Source organism: Homo sapiens, chromosome 6, assembly GCF_000001405.40.
Source record: "Homo sapiens chromosome 6, GRCh38.p14 Primary Assembly".
Classification (NCBI taxonomy): Eukaryota; Metazoa; Chordata; class Mammalia; order Primates; family Hominidae; genus Homo; species Homo sapiens.
In genome coordinates this window covers 97,778,732-97,805,767 of record NC_000006.12, presented here as the reverse complement: position 1 = coordinate 97,805,767, position 27,036 = coordinate 97,778,732, and the positions used below count along the sequence as shown (strand labels likewise).

General features: G+C 39.9%; 5 annotated features.

The window, feature by feature from the left end:
* Nucleotides 20,044–20,835: an enhancer, noted in NCBI's record as "OCT4-NANOG-H3K27ac hESC enhancer chr6:98232809-98233600 (GRCh37/hg19 assembly coordinates)". NCBI's record gives its function as "activates a minimal SCP1, AML or CMV promoter by ChIP-STARR-seq in naive and primed H9 embryonic stem cells {active_cell/tissue: H9 hESC(naive and primed)}" and the evidence as "EXISTENCE:reporter gene assay evidence [ECO:0000049][PMID:30033119]".
* Nucleotides 20,836–21,627: an enhancer, noted in NCBI's record as "OCT4-NANOG-H3K27ac hESC enhancer chr6:98232017-98232808 (GRCh37/hg19 assembly coordinates)". NCBI's record gives its function as "activates a minimal SCP1, AML or CMV promoter by ChIP-STARR-seq in naive and primed H9 embryonic stem cells {active_cell/tissue: H9 hESC(naive and primed)}" and the evidence as "EXISTENCE:reporter gene assay evidence [ECO:0000049][PMID:30033119]".
* Nucleotides 23,355–24,129: an enhancer, noted in NCBI's record as "H3K27ac hESC enhancer chr6:98229515-98230289 (GRCh37/hg19 assembly coordinates)". NCBI's record gives its function as "activates a minimal SCP1, AML or CMV promoter by ChIP-STARR-seq in primed H9 embryonic stem cells {active_cell/tissue: H9 hESC(primed)}" and the evidence as "EXISTENCE:reporter gene assay evidence [ECO:0000049][PMID:30033119]".
* Nucleotides 24,130–24,906: an enhancer, noted in NCBI's record as "NANOG-H3K27ac-H3K4me1 hESC enhancer chr6:98228738-98229514 (GRCh37/hg19 assembly coordinates)". NCBI's record gives its function as "activates a minimal SCP1, AML or CMV promoter by ChIP-STARR-seq in primed H9 embryonic stem cells {active_cell/tissue: H9 hESC(primed)}" and the evidence as "EXISTENCE:reporter gene assay evidence [ECO:0000049][PMID:30033119]".
* Nucleotides 25,683–26,459: an enhancer, noted in NCBI's record as "OCT4-NANOG-H3K27ac-H3K4me1 hESC enhancer chr6:98227185-98227961 (GRCh37/hg19 assembly coordinates)". NCBI's record gives its function as "activates a minimal SCP1, AML or CMV promoter by ChIP-STARR-seq in naive H9 embryonic stem cells {active_cell/tissue: H9 hESC(naive)}" and the evidence as "EXISTENCE:reporter gene assay evidence [ECO:0000049][PMID:30033119]".

Below are 27,036 nucleotides of genomic sequence, written 5' to 3'. Positions count from 1 at the left end.
GGTACTACTACAAATAAGTAGCAGGCAGCCAGAGGGAATCAAATAATGATTATGGAAGAAAAATGAGGGTTAAAAAAGATGAAAAGAATGTTTTGACTCAAGCTAAAGATTCTATGTTAATAAAATTTCCTATTTTTAAAATATATTTAATTATACATCCACAAAAGATAGAAAATAATTCATGTCAAATAGGGTAGACAGCTGACAAGTGAACCAGTAGGGACAATGTAAAAAGCTCAACATGTCCTTGGAGAGGAAGGAATGCATTCCACAATTTGTACTGGCATGCCCCCAAACCTGAACAGATTACTTTCTGACGATCAATATCTGTAACCACCAGAGGCCTGTTAGAGAGTTTTTAAAAAATCAGCTTCAAAGAGACTTGGTCCCCAGCTTACATTTTATTTTTGCCAGTGGGTGCTGAGGTAAGAGTTTTGGACAAGGCTCATTTTTCTTCTCTTTATAGGGCTGTGAATTGAATATGAAGCGACCTAACATGTTCTCAGGCTCTAGTCAGCCAGATTCTGGCCCTGTTTATAGATGCTGTAAAAGAGGACCAGCCTGCCTTACCAACTTGAAATCAGCCTGTATACAATCAACTCATGATAAAAGCTGGCCACACTTTAGCTGGGTTTCCAATCGTAGATGTTGATTCCTCAATCTGATTTTAGCCTGAGGCCAAGTATAAGTGGAGTGTTTTTTTTAATTAAGTGGTGTTACAGTTACTTTACTTGAAAACCTAGAACACTTTCTTTCTTCCTATTTATGTAATATGCTTAAATATTGGCGAATCGAAGCATTAGTTTTCTTAACATCTTTCTGCCCTTAATGAAATAATTAAAAATCTATTTCTAACAGTACAGCAAATTAAAAACAAACAACAAACAAAACTCATAATTACCCTGTTTTACCAAGTGTAAAACACTTACTAAAATCTAGAACAACTTTTTCCAAAATATATTCTGCAGCACTGTCATTTGAGATCTACTCCTATTAAAAAAATTTGCACCATGTTATATTTGGGCATTCTATACATTCTACCCTCCTCTCAGCAACTAAAAAGAGAAACAATCAAGTAAATTTGAGAGGTCTCAAAACAAATGAAACTATTTAGCTTTGTTTAGTCAAGATTTTCTCAAATTCATTTGAATCAGAAGCTATTTAAAATTCTGCAGAACTTTAAGGTACACATAGCTGGAGTTGTTTGCCAAGATTCTACCTTAAGCTTCATTCATTTGATAATTTCCCCTTGGCTAAAATAATTTTTTCTAAGTATTGAAGATGAATAGTACTCCAGAGAAGGCAGAGAATGAGATTTCTCCTACATCTCATTTAATAGCCACAATCTGCCTATCTGAACAGAAGTTCACAAGATAGAGTATAACGGAGAGGGAAGAGAAAAGCCTCCCTTATTGTAAAGCTGCATCTTACTTGACTCTGCTCAATGCTTCTCCACCTCCAAGTAACAGTATTATTAAAAGCAAACTCAAGGATGATGGATGAAAAGAACAATTGTAGCCTTTAACCACAGAGCTCTAACATTTCAACATTGTTGGTAAGTATAGAGAGTAACGAAATTATTGAAGACTTAAATACGTGGATTAGGAAAGGTTCTGAAATGAGTTGCTGGAGAAATTTCAAAATGGAAAGCTGATTAATGCACAAAATGTAAATGAACTCATAACCAATAAACAAAAGTATGTAATATCTGGATTGTGATACTTAAAGTAGGTAAATAATGAATCTGAGAGGCTCCATATTTAAAATAAATAAAATGGCAACATTTTATAAATTTTAAATTATTTATCCTTTATCTTTTATGTCACTATTCCTAGTAGATGTTGTCTAAAATTTTAGGCAAATAAAGCAAATTACTAGAACATTAAATATGATATTTCATACTTGAACATTCCTAATGCAAATTATCATAATAAAGGTTCTCAAAAGGCCTGCAATGCAGAAGGTATTTAAGTTTTGCTTAATTGAATTTTTCTCCAACCTAACTGACTGAAGACCCAAGTTTACATAGTAAATCTATTAATATCACAGGGCTTACTTTGGGAAATAATTACTACTGTTTCTTATAACAGATTATGTTCATAAAGCTATGAAAATGTAGAAAAGTTTATAATGCTTGCGAGAGTGATGGGTGATAATATATTAAAGCAGTATTTCTCAAAGTGTGATCTAGGAAGTCCTAGGCATCCCTAAGATACTTTCAGAGGATCCATGAGTTCAAAGATCTTTTAATAATACTAAAATGTCATTTTCCCTTTCACCTTCATTGTCTCACAGATGTACAGAGAAATGGTCTAGAGCCCGTAAAACATGTAATAATGTCATCACTCTGACTGATAACGAAAAGAGTACTTGGATATTTTGTATTTTTAAAACCTTTAGTTTTGATTTCTAATACAAATAAGTATTGCTAGATATAACCTACATTAACAAAAGCTTTTTGGAGTGCTCAATACATTTTAAGGGTTAAAGGGGGTCCTAAAACCCAAAAGTTTGAGAACACTATTTGAAAGTAAACACAGGTTTGGGTGCTATTTTAAAATGGTGGGGAGCCTACCACGGAGTCTGAAAGTTTGCTTTCAAAGGTTACCTCTTGGGATTTTAATAGCCTTTGGATCAATGAAAGAATCGTTTCTATGTATGGTAAACTTCAGCATTTCCAATATGACAATAAATTATATTTTTGCAGAATTTAAAAAGTATTGGTATGAGCAAAAAGAGAAATGCATTTTAGCTAGCTTTTTCTTTAGTATTTTATTTTGTGTCAGGCACTAAGCTGGATAAATCTGAATGAACTAGTTTGTACTCTGACCTTTTGGTGATAAAATGTCTATGACCTTAATTACAGGTACAAAAATGTGTAACTGAGTCTAAACCTATAGTTCTTAAAAATAACAATTTACTGATGGGTATGGTGGCATACACATTTAGTCCCAGCTTCAGCTAAAGCAGAAGGATCACTTGAACCCAGGTGTTAGAGGCCAGCCTGGACATCACAGCGGAATCCTCATCTGCAATAATAATAATAATGATAATAATAATAATTTGATGAAAATAATTAATTACTTTTAAAAATAACAAATTTAAATGATGAATAAGAAAGCACCATAAAACAGACTGATTTGTCTTATATAATTTATCATTCTAGTCTGACTGGAGATGGTTTAGTAAGCTTTTTTGTATGTTTTTATTGTCCATTATTCTCAAACAACCTGCTTCATGGCATGAATCCCTCGTGGCTACATCCTCCTTTTAGACTAGTCATTTACTTGATGAAAATTAGATTAGAAAGAAGCTGTTCTACTAAGACTACCGTCTACAAATTTCTTAAACATATATCTGATAAATAAAGTCCATGTTTAAGAATTATCAGACAACCTGTGTAAAGCCATAGAAAGAGTAGTATCACATAAGAATTCTATTGGCTATATTAACATTGAGAGATCATTCATTTGAAAAACATTAAGTAAGTATGCTCTTGTATGCCAGGCACTAGGCTAGATTCTGAAAACATATTGATAATGCACATGATCAAGGGTCCTGCTATCTTTAGGTTTTAATTGAGAACATACACACAAAATTAAGTTTCAGGGTCATGCTACACTATTACCTGAACAGGTAGTATCTAATATTGGGACATGAGAGTAATATTCCCTCTAAATATGACATCTAATTGAGACATGAAGCATTATGAGGAGTTATTGTGGCATAAAACATGGTGAAGAGTGTTTAAATGCCAATAAGTCAAGGGAAGCATGGTATATTCAAAGAACTGACAGAAGTAACAATAGCAGGATTATGGAGTATGTGTGAAGGCAGGGGTGGGGGCTGAAAAAAAGGTAGACTTAAGGAAAAATCTCACCCTGCAGGTCGTGTTAAGGAAGTTGGATTTCATTCTGAGAGCAATTAAAGTCATTGAAAGGTTTTAAGTAATATAGTAGCATTATCAAGTTTGGGTTTCAGAACAATCACTCTGGCTACTTTTTGGAGAATAATTATGAAGAGGGCAAGATTGGAGGCAAATGAAACAATTAGAAGAGACAAAAGTCATACGACCTAAACTGAGATAAGAATGGAGATGAAAGGACGACTTTAAGATTCACTCACAATGTTGAATCAATAAAAATTAGTGGTGGATATTAAAGGGAGAGGAAAAATTAAAGAACAACAGGCATGTTTTGGACTTGGGCCTTTGAGAAAGGAAAATAGGTAGCAGAATATCTAAAGAAAAAGATGAAGAGCTGAGTTTTGGATATACTGAGTTTGAAGTGACTCTCAGAAATGCAGAAATGCTCAATATAGGCAATTGAACATTCAGATGTAGAACTAAGAAAAGATGCTCAAATCTGCAACTAAGAAATGTGGGCATCACTGGCATGGGAATAGTAAGCAGTGGAAGTATTTGAGATCTCTATGGGAAACAGAGTGTGGGGTGAAAATAGGAGAGGGCCCACTACTGAGCTTACAGTACACCAATATAGTAATTGATTATATGATAATAATTTTCTTTTTTTTATCATTTCAGCTTTATTTTATATTACATCAAAATTACATTTCTGAAATTTCTGGAGACCATAAAACATTCGCTTTCAAAAAATTACCCTCGTTGCCTATAGTATCTTCTCCATAGGCATATTTTACCTGTGTTTTATGATTTCTTTTTTTTTATTATTATACTTTAAGTTTTAGGGTACATGTGCACAAAGTGCAGGTTTGTTACATATGTATACATGTGCCATGTTGGTGTGCTGCACCCATTAACTCGTCATTTAACATTAGGTATATCTCCTAATGCTATCCCTCCCACCTCCCCCCACCCCACAACAGGCCCTGGTGTATGATGCTCCCCTTCCTGTGTCCATGTATTCTCATTGTTCAATTCCCACCTATGAGTGAGAACATGCGGTGTTTGGTTGTTTTTTTTTTTTTTTTTTTTTGAGATGGAGTCTCGCTCTTGCCCAGGCTGGAGTGCAGTGGCAGCATCTCGGCTCACTGCAGGCTCCATCCCCTGGGGTTCACGCCATTCTCCTGCCTCAGCCTCCCGAGTAGCTGGGACTACAGGCGCCCGCCACCTCACCCAGCTAATTGTTTGTATTTTTAGTAGAGACGGGCTTTCACTGTGTTAGCCAGGATGGTCTCGATCTCCTGACCTTGTGATCTGCCCGCCTTGGCCTCCCAAAGTGCTGGGATTACAGGCGTGAGCCACACCGCCCGGCCTTGTTTTTTTTCCTTGCGATAGTTTGCTGAGAATGATGGTTTCCAGCTTCATCCATGTCCCTACAAAGGACATGAACTCATCATTTTTTATGGCTGCATACTATTCCATGGTGTATATGTGCCACATTTTCTTAATCCAGTCTATCATTGTTGGACATTTGGGTTGGTTCCAAGTCTTTGCTATTGTGAATAGTGCCGCAATAAACATACGTGCGCATGTGTCTTTACAGCAGCATGATTTATAATCCTTTGTGTATATAACCAGTAATGGGATGGCTGGGTCAAATGGTATTTCTAGTTCTAGATCCTTGAGGAATCGCCACACTGACTTCCACAATGGTTGAACCAGTTTGTAGTCCCACCAAGAGTGTAAAAGTGTTCCTATTTCTCCACATCCTCTCCAGCACCTGTTGTTTCCTGGCTTTTTAATGATTGCCATTCTAACTGGTGTGAGATGGTATCTCATTGCGGTTTTGATTTGCATTTCTCTGATGGCCAGTGATGATGAGCATTTTTTCATGTGTCTTTTGGCTGCATAAATATCTTCTTTTGAGAATTGTCTGTTCATATCCTTTGCCCACTTGTTGATGGGGTTATTTGTTTTTTTCTTGTAAATTTGTTTGAGTTCATTGTAGATTCTGGATATTAGCCCTTTGTCAGATGAGTAGATTGCAAAAATTTCCCCCATTCTGTAGGTTGCCTATTCATTCTGATGGTAGTTTCTTTTGCTGTGCAGAAGCTCTTTAGTTTAATTAGATCCCATTTGTCAATTTTGGCTTTTGTTGCCATTGCTTTTGGTGTTTTAGTCATGAAGTCCTTGCCCATGCCTATGTCCTGAATGGTATTGCCTAGGTTTTCTTCTAGGGTTTTTATGGTTTTAGGTCTAACATTTAAGTCTTTAATCCATCTTGAATTAATTTTTGTATAAGGTGTAAGGAAGGGATCCAGTTTCAGCTTTCTACATATGGCTAGTCAGTTTTCCCAGCACCATTTATTAAATAGGGAATCCTTTCCCCATTTCTTATTTCTGTCAGGTTTGTCAAAGATCAGATAGTTGTAGATATGTGACATTATTTCTGAGGGCTTTGTTCTGTTCCATTGGTCTATATCTCTGTTGTGGTACCAGTACCATGCTGTTGTGGTTACTTTAGCCTTGTATTATAGTTTGAAGTCAGGTAGTGTGATGCCTCCAGTTTTGTTTTTTGGCTTAGGATTGACTTGGCAATGAGGGCTCTTTTCTGGTTCCACATGAACTTTAAAGTAGTTTTTTCCAATTCTGTGAAGAATGTCATTGGTAGCTTGATGGGGATGGCATTGAATCTATAAATTACCTTGGGCAGTATGGCCATTTTCACGATATTGATTCATCCTACCCATGAGCATGGTATGTTCTTCCATTTGTTTGTATCCTCTTTTATTTCGTTGAGCAGTGGTTTGTAGTTCTCCTTGAAGAGGTCCTACAAATACCTTGTAAGTTGGATTCCTAGGTATTTTATTCTCTTTGGAGCAACTGTGAATGGGAGTTCACTCATGGTTTGGCTCTCTGTTTGTCTGTTATTCGTGTATAGGAATGCTTGTGATTTTTGCACATTGATTTTGTATCCTGAGACTTTGCTGAAGTTGATTATCAGCTTAAGGAGATTTTGGGCTGAGACAATGGGGTTTTCTAGGTATACAATCATTTCATCTGCAAACAGGGACAATTTGACTTCCTCTTTTCCTAATTGAATACCTTTATTTCCTTCTCCTGCCTGATTGCCCTGGCCAGAACTTCCAACACTATGTTAAACAGGAGTGGTGAGAGAGGGTATCCCTGTCTTGTGCCAGTTTTGAAAGGGAATGCTTCCAGTTTTTGCCCATTTAGTATGACATTGGCTGTGGGTCTGTCATAAATAGCTCTTATTATTTTGAGATACGTCCCATCAATACCTAATTTATTGAGAGTTTTTAGCACAAAGGGGCTGCTGAATTTTGTCAAAGGCCTTTTCTGCATCTATTGAGATAATCATGTGGTTTTTGTTGTTGGTTCTGTTTATATGCTGGATTACGTTTATTGATTTGCATATGTTGAACCAGCCTTGCATCCCAGGGATGAAGCCCACTTGATCATGGTGGATAAGCTTTTTGATGTGCTGCTGGATTCAGTTTGCCAGTATTTTATTGAGGATTTTTGCATTGATGTTCATCGGGGATATTGGTCTACAATTCTCTTTTTTTGCTGTGTCTCTGCCAGGCTTTGGTATCAGGTTGATGCTGGCCTCATAAAATGAGTTAGAGAGGATTCCCTCTTTTTGTATTGATTGGAATAGTTTCAGAAGGAATGGTACCAGCTCCTCCTTGTACCTCTGGTAGAATTCGGCTGTGAATCTGTCTGGTCCTGGACTTTTTTTGGTTGGTAAGCTATTAATTATTGCCTCAATTTCAGAGCCTGTTATTGGTCTATTCAGAGATTCAACTTCTTCCTGGTTTAGTCTTGGGAGGGTGTATGTGTCGAGGAATTTATCCATTTCTCCTAGATTTTCTAGTTTATTTGCATAGAGGTGTTTATAGTATTCTCTGATGGTAGTTTGTATTTCTGTGGGATCGGTGGTGTATCTCCTTTATCATTTTTTATTGTGTCTATTTGATTCTGCTCTCTTTTCTTCTTTATTAGTCTTGCTAGTGGTCTATCAATTTTGTTATCTTTTCAAAAAACCAGCTCCTGGATTCATTGATTTTTTGAAGGGTTTTTTGTGTCTCTATCTCCTTCAGTTCTGGTCTGATCTTAGTTATTTCTTGCCTTCTGCTAGCTTTTGAAAGTGTTTGCTCTTGCTTCTCTAGTTCTTTTAATCGTGATGCTAGGGTGTCAATTTTAGATCTTTCCTGCTTTCTCTTGTGGGCATTTAGTGCTATAAATTTCCCTCTACACACTGTTTTAAATATGTCCCAGAGATTCTGGTATGTTCTGTATTTGTTCTCATTGTTTTCAAAGAACATCTTTATTTCTGCCTTCATTTCATTATGTACCCAGTAGTCATTCAGGAGCAGGTTGTTCAGTTTCCATGTAGTTGAGCAGTTTTGAGTGAGTTTGTTAATCCTGAGTTCTAGTTTGATTGCACTGTGGTCTGACAGACAGTTTGTTATAATTTCTGTTCTTTTACATTTGCTAAGGAGTGCTTTACTTCCAACTATGTGGTCAATTTTGGATCACGTGTGGTGTGCTGCTGAGAAGAATGTATATTCTGTTGATTTGGGGTGGAGAGTTCTGTAGATGTGTATTAGGTCTTCTTGGTGCAGAGTTGAGTTCAATTCCTGGATATCCTTGTTAACTTTCTGTCTCGTTGATCTGTCTAATGTTGACAGTGTGGTGTTAAAGTCTCCCATTATTATTGTGTGGGAATCTAAGTCTCTTTGTAGGTCTCTAAGGGCTTGCTTTATGAATCTGGGTGCTCCTGTATTAGGTGCATATATATTTAGGATAGTTCGTTCTTCTTGTTGAATTGATCCCTTTACCATTATGTAATGGCCTTCTTTGTCTCATTTGATCTTTGTTGGTTTAAAGTCTGTTTTATCAGAGACTAGGATTGCAACCCCTGCCTTTTTTTGTTTTCCATTTGCTCGGTAGATCTTCCTCTATCCCTTTATTTTGAGCCTATGTGTGTCTCTGCATGTGAGATGGGTTTCCTGAATACAGCACACTGATGGGTCTTGACTCTTTATACAATTTGCCAGTCTGGGTCTTTTAATTGGAGTATTTAGCCCATTTACATTTAAGGTTAATATTGTTATGTGTGAATTTAATCCTGTCATTATGATGTTAGCTGGTTATTTTGCTCATTAGTTGATGCAGTTTCTTCCTAGCATTGATGGTCTTTACAATTTCGCATGTTTTTCCAGTGGCTGGTACCAGTTGTTCCTTTCCATGTTTAGTGCTTCCTTCAGGAGCTCTTGTAGGGCAGGCCTGGTGGTGACAAAATCTCTCAGCATTTGCTTGTCTCTAAAGTATTTTATTTATCCTTCACTTATGAAGCTTAGTTTGGCTGGGTATGAAATTCTGGGTTGAAAATTCTTTTCTTTAAGAATGTTGAATATTGGTCCCCACTCTCTTCTGGCTTGTAGAGTTTCTGCCGAGAAATCAGCTGTTAGTCTGATGGGCTTCCCTTTGTGGGTAACCCGACCTTTCTCTCTGGCTGCCCTTAACGTTTTTTCCTTCATTTCAACTTTGGTGAATCTGACAATTATGTGTCTTAGAGTTCCTCTTCTCGAGGAGTATCTTTATGGCATTCTCTGTATTTCTTGAATTTGAATGTTGGCCTGCCTTGCTAGATTGGGGAAGTTCTCCTGGATAATATCCTGCAGAGTGTTTTCCAACTTGGTTCCATTCTCCCCGTCACTTTCTGGTACACCAATCAGAAATAGATTTGGTATTTTCACATAGTCCCATATTTCTTGGAGGCTTTATTAATTTCTTTGTATTCTTTTTTCTTTAAACTTCTCTTCTCACTTCATTTCATTCATTTCATCTTCCATCACTGATACCCTTTCTTCCAGTCGATCGAATCGGCTACTGAGGCTTGTGCATTTGTCACATAGTTCTTGTGCCATGGTTTTCAGCTCCATCAGGTCCTTTAAGGGCTTCTCTGCATTGGTTATTCTAGTTAGCCATTCATCTAATCTTTTTTCAAGTTTTTCAACTTCTTTGCTATGGGTTCAGACTTCCTCCTTTAGCTCGGAGAAGTTTGATCGTCTGAAGCCTTCTTCTTTCAACTAGTCAAAGTCATTCTCCATCCAGCTTTGTTCCGTTGCTAGTGAGGAGCTGCGTTCCTTTGGAGGAGGAGAGGTACTCTGATTTTTAGAATTTTTAGTTTTTCTGCTCTGTTTTTTCCCCATCTTTGTGGTTTTATCTACCTTTGGTCTTTGATGATGGTGACGTACAGATGGGGTTTTGGTGTGGATGTCCTTTCTGTTTGTTAGTTTTCCTTCTAACAGTCATGACCCTCAGCTGCAGGTTTGTTGGAGTTTGCCGGAGGTCCACTCCAGACCCTGTTTGCCTGGGTATCAGCTGCAGAGGCTGCAGAACAGCGAGTATTGCTGAACAGCCAATGTTGCTGCCTGATCGTTCCTCTGGAAGTTTTGTCTCAGAGGAGTATCTGGCCGTGTGAGGTGTCAGTCTGCCCCTACTGGGGGGTGCCTCCCAGTTAGGCTACTCGGGGGTCAGGGACCCACTTGAGGAGGCAGTCTGTCCATTCTCAGATCTCAAGCTGCGTGCTGGGAGAACCACTACTGTCTTCCAAGCTGTCAGACAGGGACATTTAAGTCTGCAGAGGTTTCTGCTGCCTTTTGTTTGGCTACGCCCTGCCCCCAGATGTGGAGTCTACAGAGGCAGGGAGGCCTCCTTGAGCTGCAGTGGGCTCCACCCTGTTCGAGCTTCCCAGCCGCTTTGTTTACCTACTCAAGCCTCAGCAATGGCGGGCACCCCTCCCCCAGCCTCACTGCCACCTTGCAGTTTGATCTCAGACTGCTGTGCTAGCAAAGAGCGAGGCTCTGTGGGCATAGGACCCTCTGAGCTATGTGCAGGATATAATCTCCTGTTGTGCCGTTTGCTAAGACTATCAGAAAAGCACAGTATCAGGGTGGGAGTGACCCGATTTTCCAGGTGCCGTCTGTCACCCCTTTCCTTGGCTAGGAAAGGGAATTCCCTGACCCCTTGCATTTCTCGGGTGAGGTAATGCCTCACCCTGCTTCGGCTCATGCTCAGTGCACTGCACCCACTGTCCTGCACCCACTGTCTGACAATCCTCAGTGAGATGAACCCAGTACCTCAGTTGGAAATGCAGAAATCATTCATCTTCTGCGTCACTCATGCTGGGAGCTGTAGACTGGAGCTGTTCCTATTTGGCCATCTTTGCTTGGGAACCATATGATAATAGTTTTCTAACACATCAATATAATTGTCAAATTTTTAAAACATCCTTTATGTACAGACAATTAAAGTCAAAGGTTTAAGAAAGGCTTCATTTCCCTGGCTTCTTACTTGTATACCCTCCTCCCCTAAGCATGGTACAGAGCAATCTAGGATCTTGGCATAGGTAAAAGCTGATTCTGTTGAATGCTTACTATATCCCAAACTTATTACTAAGCATATTTTATACATTATCTTGCATATGTAGTAGGTTCTATTACTATCTCTATTTTTAAATGAAGGCACTGAAACATAAAGTTGTTAAATAAGTTGCATATGGTCACATAGTGGTGAAGTTATGAAGCTTAGAAAAAGAAATTGTAAAAGAATTGGATGAATTCAAAGAATAGTAGAAAATCAAGGGGTCCCTGTTTTCAAAGATGTATTTAGAGATCCTGATATTTACATTGAATTGAATCCTGAATGATCCTCACTTTTCCTATTTGTGATTAGACTGTGATGTCCAGTGCTACTCTAGAAACAGTTCCTCCTGGAAACTTTTGTTGTAAAGCTCTCCCCAGATTCCAAGAAATGTGGCCATGTGGTTCAGATGCCTGCATTCTTTATTTCCACATTTGTTTCACAGTAAAACCAGCGTTACTTGAAAGTTCTACCCATTAACTCTAGACAGTCCCCCTTATACCACTGGCTAATTCCAGAGACCACTGGAATTCATACTGAAAAGTGAAATATAAGTGAAAAGAAAAGAAGGCATATTCTTATTTCAATGTACCTACTCTGTGATGACAGTAAGCAGATACTGTGTATCATTTTGTGATCTGATTTTATAGTTATTTTCTACTTGTGTATTTGACATAACAAAATGTTGTATGACATTATGAATTCTCTCCATGAGGTCATTCTCTATTCACTGTATATAATTATCCTGGAAGCAATCAAGTTACAAGAATATTCTTAGTAACTCTAGACATTAGTTGATAATAATGTGATGTTTATACTTAAATAACTCTTAACCAAATATTGTATACTTAACCAAAACGTCATTTTAACAAAGAAATAAAAGAAATTTTCAAGCACACAAAAATTTAAGGAGTATACTAACCATGAACTCCTCTTTAAAACATACAGTGTATTTCAGTTGACTAAGATTAATAAGCATAGATGCCTCAAGAATCATCATATTAAAGAAATAGTTGTAAGATATAATTCAGTTGTAAAAAAAAAAAAAGTAACATTTTAATGCCAACATCCTATTAACAAAAATTGCAGTAGGTAAGAAGAATATAGTCATAAATTTCATATTAATTTTTTTATCTTTTAAGGTAGAGATGTGGGGGACAGTTGATTGGTATTGTTTCTGACTTCTAGAAGAAGAAATTAAAACATGTAGATAAAAATTTCTAAAAACAAAAAAGCAAGAGGACCTGGTGTGGTGGTTCACACCCGTAATCCCAGCACTTTGGGAGACAGAGATAGGAGGATTGCTTGAGCCCAGGAGTTCGAGGCCAGCCTTGGCAATGTAGTAAGACCTCTGTCTCTGCAAAAAAAACAAAAAATCATCCAGGTGTGCTGGCATGCACCTATAGTCCCACCTACTAGCGGCTAAGGTGGGAGGACTGCTTGAATCTGAGAAGTTGAATCTGCGGTGAGCCATGGTCATGCCACCACACTCCATCAAGACACGGTCTCAAAAAAAAAAAAAAGAAAAGAAAAAGAAAAGAAAAGCAAGAATGAAAGAGTCAAGAGTATAAAAAAAGAAAGTCTGAAACATGTCAGAAGACAATCATATCAGATATGATGTGTAAAGACAGAAAATTTTCTCCTTAGGAAAAACTCAAAAAGGATAGAAAACAAAATTCAGCCATATGATGTTTACCACAGACACATCTAATCAAAAATAGAGAGAATAATTTAAAATATTAGAACAAATAAATATTCATCCAGACAAAGGCTAATAACAGAAAATTAGGAGTGGAGGTGAGAAATAGGGCTTCATTTTATGTTTAAGACACTAATCACAATGCCTACACTATTGTTCTTTTATTCTGGAATTCTGAGGGTAGATCAAGTAAGAAGGTGGATCTGATGAAGCCAAGAAGACAGGGCAAGAAAAGTTCAGTGGTCATCAGTTCAAAGATTAGAGAGGATTGAAAATAGCTCCATGGACTACAGTGAGGAACATGACAACTGAGAACCCAATGCCTCCTGTCCTTGATGTTCCTCTCTCTAAATTAGACTCCTGAAGGAGAGAAGTTCTGAGCTAGAACTACAATTCTGGTATTTATTGTATTCTGGCCTATGACAGAAAGTCCAGTTATGGAAAAAAATTCTATTTATTATTCACCTCAGTTTGTAAATTATAATTAATACCATCTAAATAATACCAGTCTAGATGTTGCACTGAAGGTATGTTTTAGATTTGATTAACATCTAATTAACATCTAATCTAATCTAAAAAATATCTTCACTGCAACATTTAGACTAATATTTGACCAAATATCTTGGAATCATGGCCCAAACACGACATATAAAATTATATATATAATTGACATATAAAATTAACCATTACAGAAAGCAAAAAGAATTTTGCAAAAGCATCAGAAGTCAATATAATAAAACCTAATATAAAGGCCAGTATCTCAGAAACTGAACCTCAGAATGAGTAGTAAAATAATAATAAAACATACCAATAACACTAATAGTTCCTTGTAATTGATAGTGGCAGGAGGTAGACAAATTCGTAAGCAGACAGGGGAGGGTCCCTGGTGAAACCTGACCTTCAAGCCAAAGACAGCCTGAAGCCTGAAAATCAAGCTGCCAGTTCCAGGTAAAGTCCTAGAGCAGAGTAAGAACTTCCTCGATACCTTTTGTCCAATCAAATGGTGCTTTTTCCAGGCCTACCCACGGATTAATCAGTACTCACTCCCCCATTCTGAGCCCATAAAAGCTCCGGACTGAGCCACATGTGGAGACTACCCGTCTTGGGGTAGAGGCTACCCACTTCGGGTCCTCTCTCCACTAAGAGTTGTTCTGTGGCTCAATAAATCTCTTCTCCACCTTCTCTCTCTTCGGTTGTCAACGTAACCTCATTCTTCTTGGACACAGAACAAGAACCCAGGACCTACTAAAGACGCTGTAACACTGTAGTCCTCCCACCTTCCGCCGGTGCCGGGTGGCTGTCCCACATGACAGGAAGCAGCGGTGGGGCTGGGTCAGCCCAGGAGCCATGGGCTGGAGTGGGATAGCAGGATGGAATGAGCTGTAACACGAGCAAGCTGAAACACGTTCCTGGCCAGCCCACCAAGCTTAGGGCAGTGACACACACCCAATCACCAGAGTGTGAGACAAGAGCTGTGACACTCTGGGGGCCCAGACCTTGGGGCTCCCTCAGACAGAGCTGGGACACAATGTAACACCCCCTTGGGGCTCCATGGTCGCTGGCGTCTCCAAGTTTTCAGGCACCACCTCGCTCACCTCATCCAGATGCTGGCGCCCAAGGCGGAAGCCACTTGAGGCACACCTGGTCCAGCCACAGCCTCCCACATTGCTCGCGCCTGTGCTGGTGCTCCTGGCTGTGTGCTATGGCTGGTCCCCACGTCCACTTGCTCACACACTCTTTGCTGCTTCACGCCTGGCTCACCTGCAGCGGGCGTGGTAGCTGGGCCAGTAGTGTGAGCTGAGCATAGCCTGCCAGGCTGAGTTGGTGCAGCCAGCCCAGTGGTTGTGAGCAAAACTCAAGCAGAGGCCCTGCTGGCCACAGAGGTTTCTGGCTGGAGAAGAGGCATGGAAAAAATCCTGTGTCACAATTATATAGGATTTTTTAAAACTTTCAAAACATTTTCATAAGTTGGTTTAAAATATCTGATAATTAGATATCTAAGGAAGAAGTTCTAACCATTTCTTTGCATACGAACGCAAAGCTATGCATTTAATTCAACTCGTCGTAAGAATGTGTTTCGTCTTACTTTCATAGCATGAATTATGAAAGGAAAGGTTTATCTAATTGATAAGAGGTAGAAACATAAAGATATTAGATAATATCTCCAATGTCTCTTAGCAGAGAGGATTTAAGCCCAAATATTCTGTTGAAGAAGCTTTTGTTCAACTCCGCCTCCCAGTTCTCTCCATGAAAATATCCAGACATTACAGCAAGGTAGGCATGGAAATCAAGTCAACAAACCATTTTTGAACAAATATTGCATTGAGAATACAAAGAACAATAAGAAAGAAATGATCTTTCATCTTGGGAACTGTGTAATCCACTACAGGAGATAAGTGGGTAACTGGGTACTAAGGATTTGAAGAGGAAGAAATGTAACTTGGCCTGGGTGGGCTCAGAAAAAAAAATATTGGAAGAGATTCCGAGTGTTAATTGTAGGCAACTGTTGGAGAAATAGTTGGAGAAAGGTAGTGCCAGAAGGAAAGATATCTAGGCAGAAAGAATAGCATGAACAATGGCATGGTGAGTATAGAGTGAGAGAGTACAATCAGTTCTAGATGCCAAAAGACAAGTGGATTTAAAGAGTGGGGAAAGTTAAGGCTGGATAGGTTTGTGGGTGGGGAATGGAAATTTTTGAGTGTTATAAACTGACAGAAAGTCAGTGAAAAATATGAAGAACACAGATTTAGACCTTAGCTTTTAGACCAATGCTTTTTTCCTGTAGCATTGCAGAAAAGATATTTGCAGGTGAAAAGACTAGAGACAGGAAGACCATTTAGTAGGTTTTGCAGTTATTACATTATGAGCAATTGTAGTAGCTCAAACAGATGGAAAGCACTTCTAATCTGCTGGCTTGTATACTGAACCCAAATTGAAGCTTCCCCATCACTCCTAAAAGCTGTCTTCCTAGGAGAAGGATAGGTAGGGAGGCCAGCAGGGGAATTAAAATAGTGAACTACACAATTTCAAGCAATAACTTACTGGTTACCAACATGATGATTTTGAACCTCACTAAAAAGTTGAACAGATTCTCACAAGAGAATTGTCAAAAATAAGCATAAAGCTGAACAATTAAAGCTAACTGATACTTGGTGAAACTGATTTGGTATAGATATTGGGTAGAAATTTTTAAATTATAAGTTGCATTAAAGAATTAAGGGGATAAATCATTCATAAGGTATCAGCAAGCTATAAAAATAACTTTAGTGAAATAAACACATTCTTAATATAAAATAGCATGAGTAGCCAAATATAAATTTTAATAGATGCAAACATACCAATCTAATTCCTGAAATAGGTCACCTTATAAAACTGCTTCCCTGTAGTCATCTTCTAGACTTAAAAAATTAAAAAAGAAAAAAGAAGCTAAAGGAGGTACTTACCACCTAGATTCAACTTGGCAGTCTCACTAAGAAATACCAAATTTAGTACTAACTAATTCTGGCTACTAACTAGAAGAAACATGAAAAATTTTGAGGGGAAAATACTTGTGTCTGCTATTGCTCCCCTGACAAAATGGGTCGGAAGTGGCATAAACAGAGCCACAGCAAAGTCTGAAGCAACTAAATAGGTACAAATAAATGGTCACTCCTGTCTATTTTATCATGGATTCAGCCCAAGACGAATTACGTGAAGTGTATTTCTAAGGAAGCTCTAGATTCAAGAAGGCATTAAGTTAGAAAACAGGTTAACAGTAAAAAGTGCATGAGTAGAATTTCACATAAGAATCTCCTAACACTTTAAACTTTCTCCATGGGAAAATGCATGTGCACATAAACTTCTAGGGAGCTAACAAATATTTCAAGCACATCCATGGAATCTATAATCTGTAATCTATAATCCATGGAATCTATAATCAAATACTCCATATTAAAAACCCACAGATGTAAGCAAACTAGGACTAGAGGGGAACTTCTTCAACTGGATGCAGAATATCCACCAAACACCTAGATTGTCAAAAGGCAAAAATATCTTCTCTCACCACTCTTTTTCAATGTCATACTGGAAGTCCTAGCTAATGCAATAAAACAAACAAAAAAAAGGGTATATAGACTGAGAAGAAAAAAAAATTCAGTTGTCTTTGTTTGCAGACATGATTGTCTATGTATACAATTCAAGAGTCAACAACAAAAAAAAACTGTAACTAATAAGAGATTATAGTGGGGTTGAAGAAAAGAAAATAGGTAAAAGAAAAAAATAGGTAAAAATCTATCAAAATATAAATAGAATTATATGAAGGAAACTACAAAACTCAGATGAAAGAAACCAAAGAACTAAATAAACAGAAATATGTTGCATGTTCATGGTTAGGAAGACTCAATATTGTCAAGATGTCACCTCTTCCAAAATTGATTATAGATTCAATGCAGTCTCAATCATAATCTCAGCAATGATAAGCCAAAAGACTAAGAATACCCACAATACTGAAGAATAAGAACAAAGTTGAAGGGCAACCACTACCCCAACTCAGGACTTACTATTAAACTGCAGTTATCAAGACAATGCGGTATTGGTAAAAGAACAGATAACACATCAATGGAACAGAAAAGAGAGCTCAGAAAGAGACCCACATAAGTATAGTCAGCTGATCTTGGACAAAGAAGCAAAGGCAATGTAATGGAGTAAAGACAGTCTTTTAACAAATGGTGCTAGAAGAGCTGCACATCCGCATGCAAAAAGGAAAAATGAACATAGACACAGACCTTACATCCTTTCCAAAAATTAACTCAAAATGGATCACAGACCTATATGTAAAATATTAAACTATAAAACTCCTGGAAGATAATATAGAAGAAAAGCTAGATGACCTTATGTAGGAACACGACATTTAGATACTATACCAAAGGTATGATCTGTGAAAGAAAATTGATAAGCTGGACTTCATTCAATTTAAAATGTCTGCTCTGCAAAAAGCAGTCAAGAGAAGACAAGCCACAGACTTGCAGTAAATATTTGCACAAGATTGTTGATATAGTTTGGATATATGTCCCTGCCAAAATCTCATGTTGAATTGTAATCTCCAGTGTTGGAGGTGGGGCCTGGTGGGAAGTGATTGGATCATAGGGGTAGATCCTTCATGCATAGTTTAGCACCATCTCCTTGATACTGTCCTTGAGATAGAGAGTGAATTGTTTAAAAATGTATAGCACCTCCCCCCAACCCCACCCCCGCTTCTTGTTCTTGCTCCTACCATGTAAGATGTGCCTGCTTCCCTTTTGCTTTCCACCATCATTGTAAGTTTCCTGAGACCTCTCCAGAAGCCAAGTAGATTCCAGCATCATGTTTCCTGTACAGCCTGCAGAACCATAAGCCAATTAAACCTCTTTTTCTTATAAGTTACCCAGTCTCAGGTATTTATTTGTAGTAACTGAAGAACAGACTAATACAATTGTTATCCAAAATATTTTTAAAAAAAAACCTTAAAACTTAACGATAAGAAAATAAATAGACCAATTTAAAAATGGGCAAAGACCTGAACAAATACTTTGCCAAAGAAGATATACAAATGGTAAATAAGCATATAAAAAGACATCCACATCCTGTCACTAGGGAAATGCCAATTAAAACAAAAATGTGCTACCATTACATGCCTAATAGAATAGCCCAAATCCAGAACACTGACAGTACCAAAAGCTAGCAAAGATGTGGATCTATAGAAACTCTTTTTCATTGCTGATGAGAATACAAAATGGCGGAGCAAATTTGGAAGACAATTCGGCAGTTTCTTACAAAATGAAACATACTTTTAACATACCATTCAGCAATTACCTGCCTTGGTACTTACCCAAAGAAGTTAAAAACTTATGTTCACTTAAAAATGGTTCATGCATTTTTATGGCAGCTTTACTCATAACTGCCATAACTTGGAAACAACCCAAATGTCCTTCAGTAGGTAAATGGATAAATAAACAGTAGTACATCCAGACAATGCAATATTATTCAGGACTGAAAAAAATCAAGCCATGAAAAGACTTGGAAAAACCATAAATGCATATGATTCAGTGAAAAGAGTCAGTCTGAAGAGACTACAAACCACATTATTCCAGGTATATGACATTCTGGAAAAGGGAAAACCCTGTTGATAGTAAAAAGATCAGTGATTGTCAGGGGTTGGTAGGAGGAAGAAATGAATAGGAGAGGAGTTTTAGGGCAGGGAAATTATTCTGTACGATACTATCATAGTGGATACATGTCAGTATACATTTGTCAAAATCCAGTATATATAACACCAAGAGTGAACCCTAATGTAAACTATGGACTTTGAGTGATGATGATGTATCATACTACGTTCCTCAGTTATTACAGATACACCATTTTGATGTTGGAGATGGCCATGTGGAGGTTGTGGGTACATGAGACTCTCTTTACTTTCTGCTTAATTTTCTGTGAACCTAAAACTGCTTTAAAAAATAAAATCTGTTTAAAAAGAAAAAGAACCCCATAGTCTGTAAGAAAACAAGAATCACTGGAACAGTTTTAGGAGACTAAATTGTAGGACAGGTTATGGAATATAGGGAGTTCAATAATCTAGACAATCTATATCAGAGGCCATGCTGGACTGATTCTCAAACCATAAGATATTAATAAGATAAGATGATAATATAGACAAGATAAGATGCACTTGGATAGAGTAGTAGAATTAAACTAACTGAAAGAAAGTGAAACTTACAGGACTGTCAAAAGAATTTAGAGGACCTGACAGGCCGGGCACGGTGGCTCATGCCTGTAATCCCAGCACTTTGGGAGGCCGAGGCGAGCAGATCACAAGGTCAGGAGATCGAGACCATCCTGGCTAACATGGTGAAACCCCATCTCTACTAAAAATACGAAAAATTAGCCAGGAGTGGTGGCAGGCGCCTGTAGTCCCAGCTACTCAGGAGGCTGAGGCAGAAGAATGGCGTGAACCCGGGATGTGGAGCTTGCAGTGAGCCAAGATGGCGCCACTGCACTCCAGCCTGGGGGAGAGTGCAAGACTCCATCTCAGAAAAATAAATAAATAAATAAATAAGACCTGACAAAAGAATTTTATTACTCTTTCCAGATAAATCAAAGCCATATTAAGATTTACAAAAGAGTGAACTCAATAGTTGTCCTTGCATAGCATTCACTGTAACACTTTATAAGTAATTGTTTTCTTAAACCTTATATCAACCTGGTATGATATAGTTACCAATTCATTCCCTTTTACCCTCTGTAAAATTAGAAAACAACGGGTCTCCAATCTTTCCTGAAAATTCTGTCTTGTTATTTATGACACGTTATTTAAGCTTGCCTTCTACTTTCTCTTTTCTAGTTTGAATACAATACAGCCCTATGTATTACTTTGGTAAATGAAATAAAATAAAAATATTTTAGATAAAAGGTTTCATGCGCATCCGTGTGAAGAGACCACTAAACAGGCTTTGTGTGAGCAACATGGCTGTTTATTTCACCTGGGTGCAGGCGGGCTGAGTCCGAAAAGAGAGTCAGTGAAGGGAGATAAGGGTGGGGCCGTTTTATAGGATTTGGGTAGGTAAAGGAAAATTACAGTCAAAGGGGGTTTGTTCTCTGGCGGGCAGGAGTGGGGGTCACAAGGTGCTCAGTGGGGGTGCTTTTTGAGCCAGGATGAGCCAGGAAAAGGACTTTCACAAGGTAATGTCATCACTTAAGGCAAGGACCGGCCATTTACACTTCTTTTGTGGTGGAATGTCATCAGTTAAGGTGGGGCAGGGCATATTCACTTCCTTTGTGATTCTTCAGTTACTTCAGGCCATCTGGGTGTATACTTGGTGCAAGTCACAGGGGATGCGATGGCTTGGCTTGGGCTCAGAGGCCTGACATTCCTGCCTTCTTATATTAATACAAAAAATAAAACAAAATAGTGTTGAAGTGTTGGGGTGGCGAAAATTTTTGGGGGGTGGTATGGAGAGAGAATGGGCAATGTTTCTCAGGGCTGCTTCAAGCGGGATTAGGGGCGGCGTGGGAACCTAGAGTGGGAGAGATTAAGCTGAAGGGAGGTCTTGTGGTAAGGGGTGATATTGTGGGGATGTTAGAAGAAACAATTGTCATATAGAATGATTGGTAATAGCCTGGATACGGTTTTGGATGAATTGAGAAACTAATGGAATAACAGAAAGAGAAAAACAGGTATAAAAGGTCTAAGAATTGGGACGACTCAGGATATCTGATTAGAGAGTGCCTAAGGAGATTCAGCATAGTCCTGCCAGCAAAGATTATTTATTTACTTCAAGAGTTAAGAGTGGCAGTTTGGGGATAGCACCAGGAGATATCAGCTGTGATGGCTTGGAAAAACAGTGTAAACCGGCAGTGTAAACAAGAGCAGGGCATGTATGAGTAGTTTAGAATGGTGAATAGGAGTATGACTAGACAGAAGATAGTAGGGATGACAAGATTTTGGGGCACAGTCTAAGTTGGTCTGGTGTCTGGAATGAGACTGGGGCCTAATAAAAAGGAGTGTCTATACAGGAGCTTAAATGGGCTGTACCCTGTAGCATTCCGAGGACAGGCCTGAATTCTGAGAAGGGAAAGTGGTAAAAGTATTGTCCAGTCCTTTTTGGTGGCTGAGCTTGGTGAGGTGTGTTTTTAAAAGACCTTTAGTCCATTCTACTTTTCTTGAAGACGGAGGACCGTAAGGGATATAAAGGTTTCACTGAATACTAAGAGCCTGAAAAACTGCTTGGCTGATTTGTCTAATAAAGGCTTGTCTGTTATCAGACTGTATAGAGGTGGGAAGGCTAAACTGAGGAATTATGTCTGACAGAACGGAAGAAATGACTGCGATGGCCTTCTCAGACCCTGTAGGAAAGGCCTCTACCTATCCAGTGAAAGTATCTACCTAGATTAAGAGGTATTTTAGTTATCTGTCTCAGGGATGTTGAGTAAAGCTAATTTGCCAGTCCTGGGTGGGGCAAATCCTCCAGCTTGATGTGTAGGGAAGGGAGGGGGCCTGAATAATCCCTGAGGAGTAGTAGAATAGCAGATGGAACACTGAGAAGTTATTTCCTTGAGGATAGATTTCCACGATGGAAAGGAAATGAGAGGTTCTAAGAGGCGGGCTAGTGGCTTGTACTATAGTATAACCTGCCTTTGCTGGTGTGTGGCGATTAGGCCTGGTGGAACTGCCATCAATAAATCAAGCGTGATCAGGGTGAGGAACAGGAAAGAAGGAAATTTGGGGAAATGGGGTGAATGTCAGGTGGATCAGAGAGATACAGTCATGGGGGTCAGGTGTGGTATCAGCAATAATGTGGGAGGCCAGACTGAAGTCTCGGCCAGGAACAACTGTAATTGTGGGAGACTCAACAAAGAGTGAGTATAGCTGAAGGAGCTGGGAAGCCAAAAGTATATGTGTCAGGTATGAGGAAGAAAATAGATTTTGGAAGTTATGAGAACTGTAGAGAGTGAGTTGAGCATAGTTTGTGATTTTGAGGGCCTCTAAAAGTATTAAAGCAGCGGCAGCCACTGCACACAGACATGAGGGCTAGGCTAAAACAGTAAGGTCAAGTTGTTTGGACAGAAAGCCTACAGGGTGTGGTCGTGGCTGTTGTGTAAGAATTCTGACTGTGCCAACCATGCCTAGGATGTAAAGGAGTTGTTTTATAGAAGGTGCTGGGGTTTGAGAGATCAGTCAGACACGATTGGCAGGGAGAGCATGTGTGTTTTTATGAGAATTATGCCGAGATAGGTAGCAGATGAGGAAGAAATTTGGGCTTGATTGAAGTAATGGGGACTGTCTGTGAAGCTTTGCGGCAGTACAGCCTAGGTAATTTGCTGAGCTTGATGGGTGTCAGGGTCAGTCCAAGTGAAAGCGAAGAGAGGCTGGGAATAAGGGTGCAAAGGAATAGTAAAGAAAGCATGTTTGAGATCTAGAACAGAATAATGGGTTGTAGAGGCAGGTATTGAGGATAGGAGAGTATATGGGTTTGGTACCATGGGGTGGATAGGCAAAACAATTTGGTTGATAAGGCGCAGATCCTGAACTAACTTGTAAGGCTTGTCTGGTTTTAGGACAGGTAAAATGAGGGAATTGTAAGGAGAGTTTATAGGCTTTAAAAAGCCATGCTGTAGCAGGCAAGTGATAACAGGCTTTAATCTTTTTAAAGCGTGCTGCGGGATGGGATAAGGGTGATTAGGTTTTAATGAGATGGTAAGGGGTGCATGATCAGTCGCCAAGGAGGGAGTAGAGGTATCTTATACTTGTGGGTTAAGGTGGGGAGATACAAGAGGAGGACGCAAAGGAGGCTTTGGATTGGGAAGAAGGGCGGCAATGAGATACAGCTGTAGTCCAGGAATAGTCAGGGAAGCAGATAATTTAGTTAAAGTGTCTCAGCCTAATAAGGGAACTGGGCCGGTGGGGATAATTAAAAAGGAGTGCTTAAAAGAGTATTGTCTAAGTTGGCACCAGAGTTGGGGAGTTTTAAGAGGCTTAGAAGCCTGGCCATCAATACCCACAACAGTTATGGAGGCAAGGGAAACAGGCCCTTGAAAAGAAGGTAATGTGGAGTGGGTAGCCTCCGTATTGATTAAGAAGGGGACGGGCTTACCTTCCACTGTGAGAGTTACCCGAAGCTCGGCGTCCGTGACGGTCTAGGGGGCTTCCGAGGCGATCGGGCAGTGTCAGTCTTCAGCCGCTAAGCCGAGAAGATCTGGCAAGGAGTCAGTCAGAGAGCCTTGGGCCAGAGTTCCAGGGGCTCTGGGAGTGGCTGCCAGGTGAGTTGAACAGTCTTATTTTCAGTGGGGTCCCACACAGATGGGACGCGGCTTAGGAGGAATCCCAGGCTGCAGGCATTCCTTGGCCCAGTGGCCAGATTTCCAGCACAGGTAGCAAGCTCCTGTGGGAGGAGGTTCTGGAGGAATGCCTGGCCGCTGCAGTTCAGGTGTTTGGAAGTTCTTGTGTGCTGGAGATGTGGCTGGGGGGTTTGTCTCACAGTGGAGGCAAGGAATTGCAACTTTTTTCTATTATTGTACACCTTGAAGGCGAGGTTAATTAAATCCTGTTGTGGGGTTTGAGGGCCGGAATTTAATTTTTGGAGTTTTATTTAATGTCGGGAGCAGATTGGGTAATAAAATGTATTTTGAGAATAAGACGGCCTTTTGACCTTTTAGGGTCTAGGGCTGTAAAGCGTCTCAGGGTTTCTGCCAAACAAGTCATGAACTGGGCTGGATTTTTATATTTGATGAAAAAAAGCCTAAACGCTATCTGATTTGGGATAAAGAAAAAGGAGCATTAACCTTGACTATGCCTTTAGCTTCAGCCACCCTTTTAAGAGTAAATTGCTGGGCAGGTGGGGGAGGGCTAGTCACGGAATGAAACTGTAAGCCGGACCAGGTGTGAGGAGGGGAGGTGATAAAAGGATTATAGGGTGGAGGAGCAGAGGCTGAGGAAGAATTGGGACCTAGCTCAGCCTGGCGAGGAGCAGCCTGGGGAGGAAGGGAGAGGTCAGATGGATCTGTAGAAAACGAAGATTAGAAAGACTCAGCGACGCTTGGGGTTGGTACTGAGGGGACAGGCGGGAGGGAAAGAAGGAAGATTTGGGATGAGTTGCACTGGGCACAGAGACTAGGAAGGGACTGATGTGTAAAAGAATGCTTGGACGTCAGGCACCTCAGACCGTTTGCCTATTTTATGACAAGAATTATTTAGATCTTGCAGGATGGAAAAATTCAAAGTGCCATTTTCTGGCTATTTGGAACTACTGTCCAGTTTGTATTGGGGTCAAGCGGCATTGCAGAAGAAAATAAGGCATTTAGGTTTTAGGTCAGGTGTGAGTTGAAGAGGTTTTAAGTTTTTGAGAACACAGGCCAAGGGAGTAGGAGGAGGAATGGAGGGTGGAAGGTTGCCCATAGTGAAGGAAGCAAGCCTAGAGAAAAGAGAGAGTAGAGAAATGGAGGGAAGGGGTTTGGGGGTTCTTACCTTCCAGAAAAGTGGGAAAAGGGGTTGGGGCACAGAGATAAGAGGTAGGGGTGTGGAAATAAGGGATTGGGTGCAGAAATAAGGGGTCGGGGCATGGAAATAAGGGGTCGGGGCATGGAAATAAGGGGTTGGGGCATGGAAATAAGGGATTGGGGCACAGAGATAAGAGGTCAGGGCGTGGAAATAAGGGATTGGGGCAGAGAGATACAAGGTTGGGGTACTTGCCCCTCCTCTAGAAAAGCAGGACTTGCCGCTAAGAGTGAAGGAGAAGGGGTTGAGGGGTACTTGCCCCTCTCCCAGAAAAGCAAAGAAGGGGTAGAGACAAGGAGAGAAGGGGTTGGGGTACTTGCCCTTTCCCCAGAAAAGTGGGACTTGCCACTAAGGGTGAAGGACCAAGGCAGGCGTCCCTGCATGGTCTGACACCTTTGAAACATGGGTGAATAATCAGAGAGGTGTTCCTGCAATGATTAAACACCAAGGGAAGGCTGCCTTCCCAGTCCGTGACCGGCACCGGAGTTTTGGGTCCACGGATAAAATGTGTCTCCTTTGTCTCTACCAGAAGATGAAAGGAATTGAAATTAAGAGAAGGGAGAGATTGAAGTGTAGCACCAAGATTGGAAGGAGAAAGAGGTTGAGGGATAGTGAGGGAAGTTGGAGAAGAGAGTAAAAAGAGGCTGCTTACTGGATTTGAAATTGGTGAGATGTTTCTTGGGCTGGTCGGTCTGAGGACCTGAGGTCGTAGGTGGATCTTTCTCATGGAGCAAAGAACAGGAGGACAGGGGATTGATCTCCCAAAGGAGGTCCCCCGATCCGAATCACAGCACCAAATTTCATGCGTGTCCGTGTGAAGAGACCACCAAACAGGCTTTGTGTGAGCAACATGGCTGTTTATTTCACCTGGGTGTAGGCGGGCTGAGTCCGAAAAGAGAGTCAGTGAAGGGAGATAAGGGTGGGGCCATTTTATAGGATTTGGGTAGGTAAAGGAAAATTACAGTCAAAGGGGGTTTGTTCTCTGGCGGGCAGGAGTGGGGGTCACAAGGTGCTCAGTGGGGGTGCTTTTTGAGCCAGGATGAGCCAGGAAAAGGACTTTCACAAGGTAATGTCATCACTTAAGGCAAGGACTGGCCATTTACACTTCTTTTGTGGTGGAATGTTATCAGTTAAGGTGGGGCAGGGCATATTCACTTCTTTTGTGATTCTTCAGTTACTTCCGGCCATCTGGGCGTATACTTGGTGCAAGTCACAGGGGATGCGATGGCTTGGCTTGGGCTCGGGCTCAGAGGCCTGACAAAAGGTACCCAGAACAGCCCATAATAAAAAGGAAGATCATATATAGTGAGATAATTTACTGATTAAGAAGACCAAGTTTTTGATTACTGGAAAAGTTATTTCTTATTTCTTAGCACATAGCAAGTACACAAAAAATTTCTGAAGAATGAATTAATATACGCTAATAATTTGGAACTCTGCTGTATAAAGACATCATTATCACCATGGCTATAATCAGCATCACCACCATTATCACATTATGGTGTTGATGAAAAGAGTCAAATTCTGTAAAATAGTTAAAGAGGTTTATTCTGAGCCAAATATTAGTGCCCATGACATAGCCCCAGGAGGTCCTGAGAACATAGGCACAAGGTGATTGGATGACAGCTTGGTTTTATACATTTTTGGGAGACATAAGATATCAATCAATACATCAGTATATTCAAGGTATGCATTGGTTCAGTCTGGAAAGGCAGGACAACTTAAAGTGGGGAAAGGGCTGGGCTTCCGGGTCACAGTTGGATTCATGGATTCAAAGGTTTTCTGATTAGCAATTGGTTGAAAGAGTTAAGTTATTATCTACAGATCTGGAATCAACAGAAAGGACTATTAAGATAACAAGGGCTGTGGAGACCAAGGTTCTTAAAGCAGATGAAGACTTCGGGTAGCAGGCCTCAGAAAAAATAGCCGTAACTGTCTCTAATTAGGCATAAAAAGGTGCCAGACTCTTAGTTAACCTCTTCTAGATCAGGAAAAGACCTGAAAAGGGAAGGAGAT